The sequence below is a fragment of the Homo sapiens genome, chromosome 17 (assembly GCF_000001405.40).
Source record: "Homo sapiens chromosome 17, GRCh38.p14 Primary Assembly".
Classification (NCBI taxonomy): Eukaryota; Metazoa; Chordata; class Mammalia; order Primates; family Hominidae; genus Homo; species Homo sapiens.
Window position 1 is genome coordinate 19,504,139 of NC_000017.11, and position 17,181 is coordinate 19,521,319.

The 17,181-nt window shown below is 47.2% G+C and overlaps 1 non-coding gene across 1 annotated transcript, besides 7 other annotated features; it reads left to right on the plus strand.

The window, feature by feature from the left end:
* Nucleotides 1,342–1,941: an enhancer, noted in NCBI's record as "NANOG-H3K27ac hESC enhancer chr17:19408793-19409392 (GRCh37/hg19 assembly coordinates)". NCBI's record gives its function as "activates a minimal SCP1, AML or CMV promoter by ChIP-STARR-seq in naive H9 embryonic stem cells {active_cell/tissue: H9 hESC(naive)}" and the evidence as "EXISTENCE:reporter gene assay evidence [ECO:0000049][PMID:30033119]".
* Nucleotides 3,156–3,325: a silencer, noted in NCBI's record as "silent region_8293". NCBI's record gives its function as "represses an Ori minimal core promoter by ATAC-STARR-seq in GM12878 lymphoblastoid cells {active_cell/tissue: GM12878}" and the evidence as "EXISTENCE:reporter gene assay evidence [ECO:0000049][PMID:35858748]".
* Nucleotides 3,396–3,455: a silencer, noted in NCBI's record as "silent region_8294". NCBI's record gives its function as "represses an Ori minimal core promoter by ATAC-STARR-seq in GM12878 lymphoblastoid cells {active_cell/tissue: GM12878}" and the evidence as "EXISTENCE:reporter gene assay evidence [ECO:0000049][PMID:35858748]".
* Nucleotides 3,566–3,615: a silencer, noted in NCBI's record as "silent region_8295". NCBI's record gives its function as "represses an Ori minimal core promoter by ATAC-STARR-seq in GM12878 lymphoblastoid cells {active_cell/tissue: GM12878}" and the evidence as "EXISTENCE:reporter gene assay evidence [ECO:0000049][PMID:35858748]".
* Nucleotides 3,696–3,775: a silencer, noted in NCBI's record as "silent region_8296". NCBI's record gives its function as "represses an Ori minimal core promoter by ATAC-STARR-seq in GM12878 lymphoblastoid cells {active_cell/tissue: GM12878}" and the evidence as "EXISTENCE:reporter gene assay evidence [ECO:0000049][PMID:35858748]".
* TRW-CCA2-1 (tRNA-Trp (anticodon CCA) 2-1) lies at nt 4,043–4,114 on the plus strand. The gene has a single exon. It is a non-coding gene; the product is annotated as a tRNA-Trp (tRNA).
* Nucleotides 6,130–6,751: an enhancer, noted in NCBI's record as "H3K4me1 hESC enhancer chr17:19413581-19414202 (GRCh37/hg19 assembly coordinates)". NCBI's record gives its function as "activates a minimal SCP1, AML or CMV promoter by ChIP-STARR-seq in primed H9 embryonic stem cells {active_cell/tissue: H9 hESC(primed)}" and the evidence as "EXISTENCE:reporter gene assay evidence [ECO:0000049][PMID:30033119]".
* Nucleotides 14,688–15,407: an enhancer, noted in NCBI's record as "H3K27ac-H3K4me1 hESC enhancer chr17:19422139-19422858 (GRCh37/hg19 assembly coordinates)". NCBI's record gives its function as "activates a minimal SCP1, AML or CMV promoter by ChIP-STARR-seq in naive H9 embryonic stem cells {active_cell/tissue: H9 hESC(naive)}" and the evidence as "EXISTENCE:reporter gene assay evidence [ECO:0000049][PMID:30033119]".

The following is a 17,181-nucleotide window of genomic DNA, read 5'->3' on the forward strand; positions in this document are numbered from 1 at the left end:
ACAGATCTGAGCAGGTGTCCAAACACAGTGGAGGCTGGGTGCAGTGGCTCATGCCTGTAATCCCAGCACTTTGGGAGGCTGAGGCAGGAGGATTACTTGAGGCCAAGAGTTCACGACCAGCCTGGGCGAAATAGTGAGACTCTGTCTCTACAAAAAAGTTAAAACTTAACTTTTAATTAATGATGGGTGTGGTGCTGTGCACCTGTAATCCTAGCTACTCAGGAGGCTGAGGTGGAAGAATCACTTGAGCCTAGGCGTTCAAACTGCAGTGAGCTGTGATCACATCACTGTACTCCAGCCTGAGCAACAAAGACCCTGATTCAAAAATAAATACAAAATTTAAAAAAAAAAGTTTTATTTTTAGACAGGGTCTCGTTCCCAAACTGCTGGGATTATAGGCGTGAGCCACCTGGCCTGGCCAGATCTTTCTTTTCCTTTTTTTCTTTCTTTTCTTTTCTTTCTTCTTCTTCTTCTTTTTTTTTTTTTTTTTTTTGAGATGGAGTTCCGCTCATGTTGCCCATGCTGGAGTGCAATGGCGCAATCTCAGCTCACTGCAATCTCCGCCTCCCGGATTCAAGCGATTCTCCCGCCTCAGCCTCCTGAGTAGCTGGGATTACAGGCACCGCCACAACGCCAGGCTAATTTTTTTGTATTTTTAGTAGAGATGGGGTTTCACTATGTTGGCCAGGCTGGTCTTCAACTTCTGACCTCAGGTGATCCACCCGCCTAGGCCTCCCAAAGTGCTGGGATTACAGGTGTGAGCCACCGCACCAGCCAGATCTTTTCTTTTCTAAAAGGCATAAAGCCCTGTGGGTGTTGTGAAGGGGTGGGTTGCCCCTCCACACCTGCGGGTGTTTCTCATTAGGTGGAACGAGAGACTTGGAAAAGAAAAAGACACAGAGACAAAGTATAGAGAAAGAAATAAGGGGGCCCAGGGGACCAGCGTTCAGCATATGGAGGATCCCGCCAGCCTCTGAGTTCCCTTAGTATTTATTGATCATTCTTGAGTGCTTCTTCGAGAGGGGGATGTGTCAGGGTCACAAGACATAGGGGGGAGAGGGTCAGCAGACAAACACATGAACAAAGGTCTTTGCATCATAGACAAGGTAAAGAATCAAGTGCTGTGCTTTTAGATATGCATACACATAAACATCTCAATGCTTTACAAAGCATTATTGCTGCCCACATGTCCCACCTCCAGCCCTAAGGCGGTTTTTCCCTATCGCAGTAGATGTAACGTACAATCGGGTTTTATACCGAGACATTCCATTGCCCAGGGACGGGCAGGAGACAGATGCCTTCCTCTTGTCTCAACTGCAAGAGGCATGCCTTCCTCTTATACTAAACCTCAGCACAGACCCTTTACGGGTGTCGGGCTGGGGGACGGTCAGGTCTTTCCCTTCCCACGAGGCCATATTTCAGACTATCACATGGGGAGAAACCTTGGACAATACCTGGCTTTCCTAGGCAGAGGTCCCTGCGGCCTTCTGCAGTGTTTGTGTCCCTGGGTACTTGAGATTAGGGAGTGGTGATGACTCTTAAGGAGCGTGCTGCCTTCAAGCATCTGTTTAACAAAGCACATCTTGCACCGCCCTTAATCCATTTAACCCTGAGTTTGACACAGCATATGTTCCAGAGAGCACGGGGTTGGGGGTAAGGTCATAGATTAACAGAATCTCAAGGCAGAAGAATTTTTCTTAGTACAGAACAAAATGGAGTCTCCTATGTCTACTTCTTTCTACACAGACACAGTAACAATCTGATCTCTCTTGCTTTTCCCCACAGTGTTGTATTTATTGAATTAAGATTGATGCTTCATGTTCTTCAACAGACCAGGAGAGTTTATCTTTCTTATTTAATAAGGTTTTTTGTTTTGTTTTGAGACGGGGTCTCGCTCTGTCCCAGACTGGAATGTAGTGGTGCAATCATGGCTCACTGCAACCTCGACCTCCTGGATTCAAGCAATCCTCCCTCCTGGTCCCTCCAATGTGCTGGAACTACAGACATGAGCCACCACGCTCGGCCTATTTACTAGCCTTTTTACTGAAAAATTTATTCACTCACTTATTGGCCAGGCGCAGTACCTCACACCTGTAATCCCAGCACTTTGGGAGGCCCAGGCAGGAGGATCACTTGAGCCTAGGAATTCCAGACCACCTGGCCAACATGGTGAAATCCCTTCTCTACTGAAAATACAAAAATTAGCCATGGATGGTGGCACACACCTGTAATCCCAGCTAAGTGGGGGCCTGAGGCAAGAGGATCGCTTGAGCCTGGGAGGCAGATGTTGCAATGAGGCCAGATCACACCACTGCACTCCATCCTGGGTGACAGAGCAAGACTCCATCCAAAAAAAAAAAAAAGCATTCACTCACTGTTTTATTTTTCTTATTTAATAGGAAGAAGAAAGTACTGTTCAAATCAGGGACTTGACTCCCACAAGACTCCCACAAGAGCCCGGAGTCTTAAGTGGACAATGAGCCGTTTAAAACCATGCACAGGCCAGTCGCGGTGGCTTAGCCCGTAATCCCAGCACTCTGGGAGGCCAAGGAGGGCAGGTCACTTGAGGTCAGAAGTTCGAGACCAGCCTGGCCAGCATGGTGAAACCCCATTTCTAGTAAAAATACAAAAATTAGCCGGATGTAGTGGTACGCATTTGTAATCCCAGCTACTTGGGAGGCTAAGGCAGGAGAATCGCTTGAAACCGGGAAGCGGAGGTTGCAGTGAGCCGAGATCGCGCCACTGCACTCCAGCCTGGGCAACACAGCAAGACCCTGTCTAAAAAAAAAAAAAAAGCCAGGCTAAGTGTCTCAAGCCTGTAATTCCAGCACTTTGGGAGGCCTAGGCGGGCGGATCACCTGAGGTCAGTAGTTCAATATCAGCCTGGCCAACATGGAGAAACCCTGTCTCTACTAAAAATGCAAAAAAAATTAGCCAGGCGTGGTGGCGGGCGTCAGTAATCCCAGCTACTCGGGAGGCTAGGGAGGCTGAGGCAGGAGAATCGCTTGAGCCCGGGAGGCGGAGGTTGCAGTGAGCCGAGATTGCGCCACTGCACTCCAGCCTGGGCAACAGAGCGAGACTCTGTCTCAAAAATTAAAAGAAATGTGGCATTTTCCAAGTCTTTTTGGCAAGGTGCTTCCTGGCCGTGGGCGTCGCCCTCCGCACCCCCGCGCTTGTCCCCTGAGAGGAGAGGAGAAAGGAGCAGCCCCGAGCCCCGAGCCCCGCGCCCCCGCGTCCCCCGCGCCGCCATCCGCTCTCGGCCGCCACGCCGGGTTCCTGCCGCCTCCCGACGACAACGTCGCCGCTTCACAGGAGGCAGGGCACCCGGCGAGCGGCGACCGCGAACGCCTCTGACGGCCGCCCAGCCGCCCCCAGCCAGGCCCCGTCGTCCCCAGCCCCGCCCGGAGTCAACCCACCTCCCTCCTCGGCGTTCCCTCCTCCACCCGCGTCCCCACCCCCGCCCCGACGTCCCCTCGCTCCCTCTCAGAGTCCCTTCTACCCCGGGGTCCCCCTGCCCTCTGGGCTTCCTCTAGTCCCTCGTTCCTCCCCTGGACATCTCCTCACCCCTAACCCCCGGCGTCCTCACCGCTCCTCGGAGTCACCCACCCCCGCGTCCCCTAGTCCGCCCCGGCGTCCCCTTCTCCCCTGCGTCCCCTTCTCCCCTGCGTCCCCTCGCTCCCTCCCAGAATCCCCATGGCCCAGGGATCCCCCCGATCCTGGGCCTCCTCCTGGGCATCTCCTTAATCCCACCCCCCGGTGCCAGTCCCCGCACCCCGGCGTCCCCTCGCCGGGTCACTACGCGACGCGGAGGAGGCGGAGCCCGAGTCTCGGCCGCCGGGTGGCTGCTCCGCTGCGGCGCCGCAGTTCAGGCTGGGATGCTCCAGCGCGTCTGTGTTCCCGCACCGGAGAAACCACACTCGCTAGCGCTCTGAATTGGTGCTGGAATTCAGGAAAGAGGGCGTCTTTCCTCCTTAGCCTCCCAGCCCTAGAACCATACTGCAGAAACGAGGTCTTTAGCGATGCGGAGTCACCACTTTGGTGTGACCTCGTGGCGCAATGGTAGCGCGTCTGACTCCAGATCAGAAGGTTGCGTGTTCAAGTCACGTCGGGGTCAAGGTTGGGTTTTTTTTTTTTTCTTTCTTAATTGTAGAGGATTGGAAAGAGCGGAATAAAAGTCATAAATGAGAAATTAAGCCCCCTGCAAGATATGTTGTCCTTCCAACGCAACGGAAAGCAACTTCTTTTTCCTTTCCCTGGGAATAAAAACGCCGTTCCGTTCCGAGGGAGGGGCAGCACCAACCCTCCGAGCGAACCGCGAGGGAGCCGGAAGCCACCCAGCCGTGTCGCAGGGAGGGCGCCCCGCCCGCCACTCCCACGCCCACTTCTGCCCGCCCCCCACTCACCTGGGCTCTCACCTGGAAGGGGTCCCTCGCTTCCCGGAAGTGGGTTCCCCACCCTAAGGACTGGTGTCTTTTGCATCTCCGTCTTCTCCCTGCCTGCCTTGAACTTCTCTTTTTTTGTCTGCCGCACTTTCAGGGATTCCTAGTCTCAGTGATGATCTCTCTGGTGGTCCTTTCTCTGACACCTGAATTGACACCTCATTCTCAGCAGGTCTATGATTCGGCCACAGCCGTAAGGCCTGGATATTCACTTCAATGTTGTCTAACAGTTGTTACCATGTATGATATCTGGTTGGCGGGTTCATAGGATCTAATGTTACGAAACATGATGTTCAGGTCTGAATTCTCTCCACCTGCGTGGTCCAAAAGCCCCAGGCCAAGAAATTATAGTTTCCCAGGTTAGGATACCCCACAGATGCTGGCAGAAGTTGAGGTAAATTCTCTCTGAGAGAAATACATCCTCACAACAGGCCTTTTAGTTTTCCCACATATAAAGTCCCAGTCGAAATTTACTCATAATACATTTTAAAGGAAAATAAAGTCTGTGAAGCTGATTCTGCTGTCCACTGTTTTTGCAAAAACAGCAGAATCAGATCCACAGATTCCAGTATGGAGATTATCAGATATTGAATACCCAATGGATATGTTTAATCTTTTTCAAAAAATAAAAGAGGAGACCAAAAAGTTAACTAGAGAACGATAAACAATAAAAATATATGTGTAAATAACTAAAAACAAAATTCTAGCAATGGAAGATTTAATACTTGAAGTTAGAAACACAATGGATATATTTAACAGCAGATTAGACTGAGTTGAAAAAAGAATAAAATGGAATATTGTGGTGATTCAAAATATGTGGTCAGTCATGACTAAATATACAAATTGAAAACTGCTCAACCGTATTATAAAAATAGAGGGTCAGGCATGGTAGCTCATGCCTGTAATCCCAGCACTTTGGGAGGCCCAGGAGGGAGGATCTCTTGAGCCCAAGAGTTCAAGACCAGACTGAACAACATGGTGAGACCCCATCTCGGAAGTAGTGGTGCACTGCTGTGGTCCCAGCTACTCAGGAGGCTGTGGCAGGAGGATCACTTGAGCCCAGGAGCTCAGGAGGCTGCAGTGAGCCATGATCACACCACTGCACTCCAGCCTGGGCAATAGAGTGAGACCCTGTCTCAAAAACAAAACAAAACAAAAAGTAGGCTGGACGGATCACCTGTGGTCAGGAGTTCGAGACCAGCCTGACCAACATGGAGAAACCCCATCTCTACTAAAAATACAAAATTAGCCAGGCGTGGTGGCACATGCCTTTAATCCCAGCTACTCAGGAGGCTGGGGCAGAAGAATCGCTTGAACCCAGGAAGCAGATGTTGCGGTGAGCCAAGATCATGCCATTGCACTCCAGCCTGGGAAACAAGAGCGAAACTCTGTCTCAAAAAAAAAAAAAAAAAAAAGTCAAGGAATTATGTTTTGGTATAAAATTCTTTGATTTCTTTTAGGGCCTGCTGTCTGTCACGTTAGTATCTTATTGCTACGAAAAGTCAGTCTTAAGGTCTCTGTTTCTTTCTTTTTCTTTTCTTTTTTTTTTTTTTTTTTTTTTTTTTTTTTTTTGAGACAGAGTTTCCCTCTTGTTGCCCAGGCTGCAGGATCTCTGCAACCTTCGCCTCCTGGGTTCAAGCGACTCTCCTGCCTCAGCCTCCCAAGTAGTTGGGATTACAGGCTTGGTGCACCACTACACCTGGCTAATTTTGTACTTTTAGTAGAGATGAGGTTTCACTATTTTGGTCAGGCTGGTCTCGAATTCCTGACCTCAGATGATCCACTCGCCTCCTAAAGTGCTGGGATTACAGGCATGAGCCACTACGCCAGGCCAAGGTCTCTATTTAAAATTGGTGCTGGTCAACTGTGCCTGAATTCCAAAGGGAGGAAGGTATAAGGAAACACGACCACCCATTCCCACCACGGCCTGAACTCGTATTTCAGGTTTACTTTAGAATTGCGCTTGGCCGAGAGGAGGGGTCCGTTCCGTTGTTTGGGGGGCCTAGGAATTTTTTTTTTTTTTTTTTTTTTTTGAGACGGAGTCTCGCTCAGTGGCCCAGGCTGGGATGCAAGCGATCTCAGCTCACTGCAAGCTCCGCCTCCCGGGTTCACGCCATTTTTCTGCCTCAGCCTCCCTAGTAGCTGGGACTACAGGCGCCCGCCACCACGCCTGGCTAATTTTCTGTATTTTTAGTAGAGACGGGGTTTCACCGTGTTAGCCAGGGTAGTCTCAATCTCCTCACCTCGTGATCCACCCGCCTCGGCCTCCCAAAGTGCTAGGATTACAGCGTGAACCACCGCGCCCGGCCTGGGGAACCTAGGATTTTTAGTTTACACCACATACTGGCATCCTTGGCTCCAGAGGGGAGGAATGAGCTTGGGCTTCAGAACTGAGAATGTTCCTATCAGAATCTGTTCCTTCAATGGGCTAAAGCCTGAGCACATGTCACCAAAGCTGGAGAGCTAAGCGGCACAAGCCGAGATCTGGAACCCACCTTCTGTTCCTCCCACGCGCCATCTGAACTTGATACTCAACATGAGAAATTCCTCAGCGTCAGCCCCACTCCCACCTCAGAGGAGGGGCAGCCTCCCTCAGCGGGGACTTCAGCCCCGGGGACACTGCCTGGCCAGGCCTGGGTGAAGAGTCCTCACGACCTCATTCCCTGGAGCTGCCTGTGGGAGAGAGAACTCTAGAAGCTGAGTGTCAGAAAGAAACCGGGTGATCTCAGCCTAGTTCGTGCTCCAGAGGATACACAAAACTGACAGTGGCTGGGAATAGAGGCAAAAAGTGTTCAGAGCGGACTACAGAACTGGAAGGTCCCATTTGCATAAAACAGACAGAATGCCAGGGACCCACAGACTCCCACTCACACAGGACTAGAAAGGAACACGCCAAAACGTTAGTGATAATGATCTCTGGGTGACAAGATAACAGATTTTTTAAACAATCTTTTTGCCTGTGTTTTATTATTTTGAAGCAACAAACAATAAAGAATAGTAGTAAATGTTCCAGCCTACAGTGAGAGGACCTGGCCAGAAATCCTGACTCCTGCCCTGATTAGTTGTGTGGCCTGGGACAGTTTATTTAACCTCTCAGTCCCCAACTTCTTCATCAGTAAAATGGGAATAATAATTGTCCCCACCTTACAGGGCAAATAAGAGAATTCGGTGAATGGATTAGAGTTCATACTGCATGAGTGAACACAGAGAGCTTCAAACAGTGCCTGGCACATGGCAAACACCATAGACGCTGGCGTTGTGTTCACCATTACTCTGTAAACCAAAAATAAAATTCTGACCAGGTGTGGTGGCTCACAGCTGTAATTCCAACACTTTGGGATACCAAGGCAGGAAGATCGCTGGAGCCCAGGAGTTTGAGACCAGTCTGGGCAACATAGAAAGACCTCATCTCTACAAATAATAATTTAAAAAATTAGCCAGGTGTGGTGGCATGCACCTGTAGTCCCAGCTATACTCAGGAGGCTGAGGTGGGAGGACTGCTTGAGCCCAGGAGGTGAAGGCTGCAGTAAGCCATGATCATACTGCTATACTCCAGCCTGGGTGACAGAGCGAGGCCTTGTCTCAAAATAAAATAAATACAAAATAGTAAAATAAAAATGTCTAAGCTCTCCAGCTGACTGGCAGACACGCCCCATTCCCTACCTCTGCCCCCTCCTCAGCCAAAGACATTCCAAACCTGAAAATCTAGTTCAAGCCATGATGGGAAGAGGAGTCTACATGCCTCATGATACCCTTCTCCCTTTGGAATTCAGGTACAAGGGACCAATATTAATGTTAAAATAAAGATCTGGCAGGGCGCAGTGGCTCATGCCTGTAATCCCAGCACTTTGGGAGGCCAAGGCAGGTGGATCACCTGAGGTCAGGAGTTTGAAACCAGCCTGGCCAACATGGTGAAACCCCGTCTCTACTAAAAATACAAAAATTAGCCAGGCATGGTGGCCGGCACCTGTGATCCCAGCTACTTGGGAGGCTGAGGCAGGAGAGTTGCTTGAACCTAGGAGGCAGAGGTTGCAATGAGCCAAGATCAGGCCACTGCACTCCAGCCTGGGCAACAAGAGCAAAACTCCGTCTCAAAATAAATAAATAAATAAAAATAAATAATAATAAAAAAAATAAGATAAAGATCTTAAGACTGACAAAACAATGTCTTTATAGGTACCAAATTCCAATCTGACTCTAGTATAGCATCACATGACAGATAGCAGGCCCCGAAAGAAATCAATGTATTTTATTCCAGAATATATATATATATATATATATATTTTTTTTTTTTTTTTTTTTTTTTTTTTGAGACAGAGTTTCACTCTTATCACCCAGGCTGGAGTGTAATGGTGTGATCTCAGCTCACTGCAACCTCTGCATCCCGGGTTCAAGCAATTCTCCTGCCTCAGCCTCCTGAGTAGCTAGGATTACAGGTGCGTGCCATCATGCCTGGCTAATTTTTGTATCTTTAGTAGAGATGGAGTTTCACCATATTGGCCAGGCTGGTCTTGAACTCCTGACCTCAAGTGATCCACCCGCATAGGCCTCCCAAACTGCTGGGATTACAGGTGTGAGGCACCATGCCCAGCCCCAGAATATATATTTTTTGACATATTTTGAAATGGCCCTGCAAAGCTGTCTCTTGTAGAGGAAATTTGTATCCTGTAGAGAATCCCCCTCCCTTTCCAGGTCTTTTTCCTGGTCCAGGAGAGATTAAGAGTCTGGTACCTTTTCAGGCCTGATAAGAGCTCTAAAGCCCGCTTCCTGGAGGCTTCCTCTGCATGAACAGAAACTTGATCTCCACAACCCCCATTTCCAGACACTCCTTTCTATTGATGCCAGGTTTTTAGATCATAACTTAACTCTTTCAACCAATTGCCAATCAGAAAATCTTGGAATCCACCTATGACCTGGAAGCCTCAATCCACCTCCATCACTCCCAGCTCTCACTCCCCTCTTTGAGTTATCCTGTCTTTCCATACAGAACCAATGTACACCTTAAATATATAGATTGATGTCTGCAAGTTCTCTCCCCCTAAAATGTATAAAATCACACTGTGACCCAACCACCTTGGGCACATATTCTCAGGACCTCATGGGGCTGTGTCACAAGTTGTGATCCTCATATTTGGTTCAGAATAAATCTCTTCCAATATTCTCCAGAATATGGCTCTTTTTGACAGTAGCTCTTCTAGAATTATTAATATTTCCAAGGCTAAGAAACTCATCACTAGATCAGTCAGCAAAAGAAGATTGTGTAAGTTCAGAACTTAGACCAAGAGTGTGTTCCACTGTCACCCAGCTCCAAGACAGGGACCCGTTGATTCTGTGACCTGCATGCTGCGATGGATCATTCAAATGCACAACAGGCTCCTGAGGCCATCACAGGCCGCCTGGCTCTTGTCAGGCCCTCCTGGTGGGGAGATTTTGACCACAGTTAGCAAAGGATAGAGCAAAGGACAGTTTCGCTGTCTAAAAAGCAAAATCTCAGAACACCGGCAGAGGGCGCAAACGGCAAGCCCAGGAATCACAGGGACGTCACTGCGAACATCTTTTTCCTCCAACATAGAACTAATTAACTTTGTGCTTGGGTATTCTCTAAAATAATTTCTGGAAAACCATGTAACCCTTGTACATTTTCTAAGTGGGCATAAAACATTTTCACCATAATTAAAAATAGTTGCGAGGGCTGGCATATCGCAAATAGTAACATTTAAAAATAAAACGATTACATCATTGTTTTAAATATATCCAATGACATATACACAACACAATTTGATACTGTCACCCATTTTTTAAAAATACATGAACAAGTTCTTCCTTAACAGTCAGAATCATTCATCTTTCCTTTTTCTCTTCATATTTCCGTTCCTTCCCCCATCAATTTGTAATATACTTTTATGCTGAAAGTCTTTTATTTACCACTCTACCATGACTCTTGCCACAAAAATACAAATGTAAATTGAAAATTAAAATGTCTCATTTCCTGAGACCTTCAAAGGCTAAGTATTAACAATTTTTCTTTGGGATAGAATTATCACTATTTTAAAAAATATTTTTTGGCTCCCTCAAATCATGGGAACTATAATTAATATCAACACAGCATTGCTACAAACAACACAAATATATTACACATCTTGATAATGTATTATGAGGTTTTGAAGTTGTCAGACTGCCTCTTTGGCACCTGACAAGTGTTTCCACCTTGGAGCAATGTGAGGTACAATGTAGGTGAGAAGGTGTCTTTCTTTAGTGACAAATACACTGAGAAGAGAAAGGAGAAGGCAGTTTTAACCAGAAACTTGGGAATCTGGAACAGTAGTTGCTTTTTTTTTTTCTTTGAGATGGAGTCTCACTCTGTCGCCCAGGCTGGAGTGCAATGGCATGGTGGCATGATCTCGGCTCACTGCAGCCTCTGCCTGCTGGGTTCAAGCAATTCTTCTGCCCCAGCCTCTCGAGTAGCTGGAATTACAGGCACCTGCCATCGTGCGCAGATAATTTTTGTATTTTTGTAGAGACAGGGTTTCACCATGTTGGCCAGGCTGGTCTTGAACTCCTGACCTCAGGTGATCCACCTGCCTCTGCCTCCCAAAGTGCTGGGATTACAGTCATGAGCCTTAAAACTTTCCTTGTCACACACAGTATTCCCTTGTCACATACAGTATTGACTACTCCAGTTTGAAGATGCGGTCAAAACCTGCTATGGAGAGACTGGGAAAGCTGACCGAGCCAGTGGCCCACTGGAGGGACCACAGCAGAGCAGACGGAGCAATAACATTCCAGATGCTGGGGGAGGAGCACACCCCAAGGTCTTTGCATGGCCCCGGAGTGCTGGGCCAGATGTCACTCAGCCAAGTCAACCCAAAGGAAGCCTGGAGACCGAGTCACAGGTAGAATCTGTGCAAAGGGAGGAGTAGACATTTTAAAAAAGAAAAAGAAAAACGCAATTTTCCCAAATAGCTTTGTTACTTTTTGACAAGGAATAACAGAACACCCGTGAGTAGGTAGTTTTTCTGTTTAAAAAAAAAAATTTTTTTTGAGACATAGTTGCGCTCTCTCACCCAGGCTGGAATGCAGTGGCACCATCTTGGCTCACTGCAACCTCTGCCTCTCAGGTTCAAGCGACTCTCCTGCCTTAACCTCCCGAGGAGCTAGGATTACAGGCGCCCACCGCCACGCTAATTTTTGTATTTTTTAGTAGAGACGGAGTTTTGCCATGTTGCCCAGGCTAGTCTCAAATTCCTGACCTCAGGAGATCTGCCTGGCTCGGCCTCTCAAAGTGCTGGGCTTGAGCCACCACTCCCGGCCTGTTTTAAATGTTTTAACTTGGGTTAAAGTGTTTCTATTTTAAGTGTTACATATGTCTATAGTCTATTTAATTGCCTTACTTTGCAATAAGACACTGAAATAATTTATAGCTCTTTAAACTCCACTTTTAGGGGCTGGATACAGTGGCTCACGCCTATAATCCCAATGCCTTAGGAAGGCCAAGGTGGAGGGATCGCTTGAGGCCTGGAGTTCAAGCCTAGCCTGGCCAACATGGCAAGACTGCTACCCCCAACTATTATTATTCTGAGACAGGATATCTCTCTGTTACCGAGGATGGAATGCAGTGGTGCCGTCAGAGCTCACTGGGACCTTGAACTCCTGGGCTCAAGGAATCCTGATGCCTCAGCCTCCTGTCTGTCTGGGGCTACCAGCATGTCCACACCTGACTAATTTTTGTATTTTTTTGTAGCAATGGGGTCTCACTATGTTGGCCAGGCTGGTACGGACTACTGGCTTCAAGTGATCCTCCAGCCTCAGCCTCCCAAAGGGGTGAGATTATGGGTGTGAGCCACCCCACCTGGCCTAGTTATTTTTTAATTAAAATTATTATTTAAATAATATTTATTTTTATTAGTGGCTCCGGAGTGCAATCCCAGAAACTCAGAAGGCTGAGGAGGGAGGATTGCTTGAACCCAGGAGTTCAAGACCAGTCTATCAACATAATGAGACCCAGTCTCTACCAAAAATAAATAAATAAATAATTAGTCGGGAGTCTAAGTTCCAGCTACTTGGGAGACTGAGACGGGAGGATCGCTTGAACCCAAGAGATCGAGTCTACAGTGAGTGATGATCGCACCACTGCACCCCAGCCTGGGTGATAGAGTGAGATCCTGAACCAAAAAAAAAAAAAAAAAAAAAAATAGAGATAGTTTGTACTTGAATGCAACTTAAGTCCCCTACTTGTTGAAGACCGCCCATGATTGTCTGGTCTTAGACATTTTGAAATGGGATGAAATGTATGTGCCTTAGCAGAAAGAACAAGCTTTAAAGTTAGACATATTTACATTTAAATCCTGGTTTGACCAGTTGCTTTTACATAAGCCTTAGTTTTCTCACCTATGAAGAAATAAGAATAAGAGATAATAATGCCCATTGTGATTTTTTTTTTCTTTTTGGTGAGAATCAAATGAGAATGTGTTATAGGGCCTGGCAGTTAGGTGTTCAAAACTGGGGGTTATTCTTGTGGTGATGCTGAACAGGGCTGTCTTTATACTTCCATTGCTCTGAGGGCCAGGACTTCTGGGGCCAGCTCTTGCCCTAAATTCCTGTGTGACCTTGGGCAAGTCCCATTTTCCTCTGAGGCCCAGTGACCCCATGTGTCCAATGCAAGCTGGAGAGGCCTCCAGCTTTGACACTCTCGTGATAACTCTCTACAGCCTTGCTGCTTAGAAGGTGGGCCTCAGACCCGCAGCAGAGGAGGCCTGGGAGTAGCTGCAGACTCTCAGACCCCACCCAGACCTACCCCAGACTCTGAATCAGCACCTGAACAAGGTTTCCAGGTGATTCTCATGCACGTTGCGGCCGAAAAGATTCTGCCCAACTGTTCCGAATTAAACTGATTTGAAGTACCTTAGTTGACGAACCAAACCACCAGAATGATTGGGAATTTAGACATTTTGTTGACTCTAGGAATTAGGCATATCCTGACAGTTTAGAGACATTACTTTTCATTTCTGACTCCTCACATCTGAAAATATGGAATTTATTCATTCTGAATGTTTTATTTCTGGGGACAGCAGGTGCTCCCAGTGCATTTGCTGAATGAGTGATGAGCTGTGTATGGAGTTGGATATTCCTGTCTTTTGATTATCTGTTGTTAAATGATGACCTTTTGTTCCCACTCTGTTTCTGGAATCAGGCAGAAGTAATTTCCAGTCCCCTATCTGCCACTGATTAGCCATTCAGCTCCAGGCAAGTTACTTAAACCATTTGAACTGCAATTCACCCATCTGAAGAAAGCAAGTAATAACCCCCTCTAGGATCCTTGTCAGGATTATGAGGTAATGGCTGAAAACACTCAGCCCAGCCCTAGAATATGGCAGCTGTTAATGATATTACAAGAAGGAAATGTCATTACATCAAATAGTAGGTAATGGACAATGGTATTACATTATTATAGTTGTCATTGTTATTAATATCTTGGGGACAGATTCAAATGGAGCTATAGGACAAAAAGTGCTTCTGGGCATTCTCCCTCAGTGATCAGATGACACCCAGGTTCCTGGAAGATGGTTCCCTCCAAGGTCTTTGATATTACTTCTGGTCTGGTGTCACACTTGGTCCACAGTGGCCCCTCACAGGCATGACCAAGCAAACACTCTTCTCCAAAGATGGCTTACAATCTGAGAGTCCTTGTACTTCTTACAAACATAGTCCCTCAGATGACTCCAAGTGGCCTTTGTAGTTGCACAGAGCTTTCTGGACTGGAAAGATGGCGGACAGGATGTTCTCCTACTTTTTATTTTATTGATTGATTGATTGATTGATTGAGATGGAGTTTCGCTCTTGTTGCCCAGGCTAGAGTGCAATGGTGTGATCTCGGCTCACCGCAACCTCCTCCTCCCGGGTTCAAGTGATTATCCTGCCTCAGCCTCCCGAGTAGCTGGGATTACAGGCATGTGCCACTATGCCCAGCTAATTTTGTATTTTTAGTAGAGATGGGGTTTCTTCATGTTGGTCAGGCTGGTCTCGAACTCCCTACTGTCTCATGCATCCATGTGACGAGACCACCAAACAGGCTTTGTGTGAGCAACAAGACTGTTTACTTCACCTGGGTGCAGGAGGGCTGAGTCCGAAAAGAGAGTCAGCAAAGGGCGGTGGGATTATCATTAGTTCTTATAAGTTTTGGGATAGGCGGTAGAGTTAGGAGCAATGTTTCGTGGGCAGGAGGTGGATCTCACAAAGTACATTCTCAAGGGTGGGGAGAATTATAAAGAAGCTTCTTAAGAGTGGGGGAGATTACAAAGTACATTGATCAGTTAGGGTGGGGCAGAAACAAATCACAATGGTGGAATGTCATCAGTTAAGGCTATTTTCACTTCTTTTGTGGCTCTTCAGTTGCTTCAGGCCATCTGGATGTATACACGCAGGGCACAGGGGTTATGATGGCTTAGCTTAGGCTCAGAGGCCTGACACCTACGTCAGGTGATCTGCCACCTCGGCCTCCCAAAGTGCTGGGATTACAGGCTGAGCCACCATGCTTGGCCCTTATTTATTTATTTATTGAGACAGGGTCTCACTCTGTTGCCCAGGCTGGATTGCAGTGGCACAATCATGGCTTGTTGCTGCCTTGACCTCCCGAGCTCAAGCAATCCTCCTACCTCAGCCTCCTGAGTAGCTGGGACTAGAGGCTCATGACACCATGCCTGGCTAATTCTTAAATTTTTTTGTAGAGATGAGGTCTTACTATGTTGCCCAGGCTGGTCTCCAACTCCAGGGCTCAGCCTCCCATCCCATGATGCTGCCTGTTTCTTGAGTCCAGGGGTCATGTTTGATGGGGAACAGAATGACTTCAGCTAAGTCATCTCTGTCAAGACCTGGAGTATTTTATTTTAACCTCCAAAATCCAACACTAGTCCCATTCTGACCTGCACTCAAGAGCAGTGCTGAGTCAACTGAGCTCCTGGCCAGTCTGGGGGCTTGAGCTCCATCCTGGTTGAGCACGACCAAGCCCTTAGAGTTATCAGACACCCTTGGCTATCTCTGGTCTGCACATCCTGAGCCCAGATTGCAGCAGCAATTGGCCTAGGCATTAACCTTGGGCACTGCCTGGAGATTGTTGGGCTGAGTCATAAAAGATGTTGTGGGGGAAATAAAGAGAAATCAGACTGTTATTGTATCTATTAGAAAAAGGAAGACATAAGAAACTCTATTTTGATCTGTACTAAGAAAAATTCTTCTGCTTTGAGATGCTGTTAATCTGTAGACCTAGCCCCAGCCCTGTGCTGGCAGATAACATGTGCTGTATTGACTCAAGGTTTAAGGGATTTAGGGCTGTGCAGGATGTGCTTTGGTAAAAATGTGTTTGCAGGCAGTATGCTTGGTAAAAGTCATCACCATTCTCCAGTCTCGAGTACACAGTGCACTGCGGAAGGCCGCAGGGACCTCTGCCCAAGAAACCCTGGGTGTTGTCCAGGTTTCCCCCCACTGAGACAGCCTGAGATATGGCCTCGTGGGAAGGGAAAGACCTGACCGTCCCCCAGCCCGACACCCGTAAAGGGTCTGTGCTGAGGAGGATTAGTGAAAGAGGAAGGCCTCTATGCGGTTGAGATAAGAGGAAGGCCTCTATGCGGTTGAGATAAGAGGAAGGCATCTGTCTACTGCTCGTCCCTGGGAATGGAACGTCTTGGTGTAAAACCTGATCGTACATTCTATTTACTGAGATAGGAGAAAACTGCCTTACGGCTGGAGGTGAGACATGCTGGCGGCAATACTGTTCTTTACTGCACTGAGATGTGTAAAGTCAAACATAAATCTGGCGTATGTGCACATCCAGGCACAGCACCTTTCCTTAAACTTATTTTTGACACAGAGTCCTTTGCTCACATGTTTTCCTGCTGACCCTCTCCCCACAATTACCCTATAGTCTTGCCACATCCCCCTCGCCGAGATGGTAGAGATAGTGATCAATAAATACTGAGGGAATTCAAAAACCAGTACTGGTGCAGGTCCTCACTTGCTGAGCGCTGGTCCCCTGGGCCCACTTTTCTTCCTCTATATTTTGTCTCTGTGTCTTATTTCTTTTCCCACTCTCTTGTCTCCACCTTGCGAGAAGTACCCAGGGGTGTGGAGGGGCAGGCCCCCTTAAAATGTGGCCACATGTTTTGAACAAAAAGTCATAAAAAAGATGTGGCCACATGTTTTGCCCATTTGGGCTTAAAATCTCAGGGTCTTACATCTGCATATGACTAGGTGTGAGCTGGGTGGGGCGGAGGGGCGTCCTCTGTCGGGGTGTACATGGGGGCACCTTGTAGGGCAGTGCTTCAAGCCCAGAGATGTATCAAGAGATTTCTTTGACATCTTGGACAAGGATATGGACTTCTGCTGAGCATACATGTCAGACGCTCACTCTTGGTTGCCTGCTTTACACCCATTCTGCTCCTATTCTGTGCTCACAGAACCACAATGATTTTTCTTTTCAAAGAACCAGCTTTTGGTTTTGTTGGTTTTTCTCTATTGATTTCCTATTTCCAATTCTATTGGCTTCTGCTCTAATTTCTTTTTTTCTTTTCTTTTGTTTGCTTTGGATTTAATTTGCTCTTCTTTTTCTTGTTTCCTATGGTAGAAGCTTAGATGATTGATTTTAGATCTTTCTCTTTTCTCATAGATGCAGTCAATGCTAGAAATATCCCCCTAAGCACTATTTTTTAATTCTGCATCCCACAAATTCTGATAGTTTGTATTTTCATTT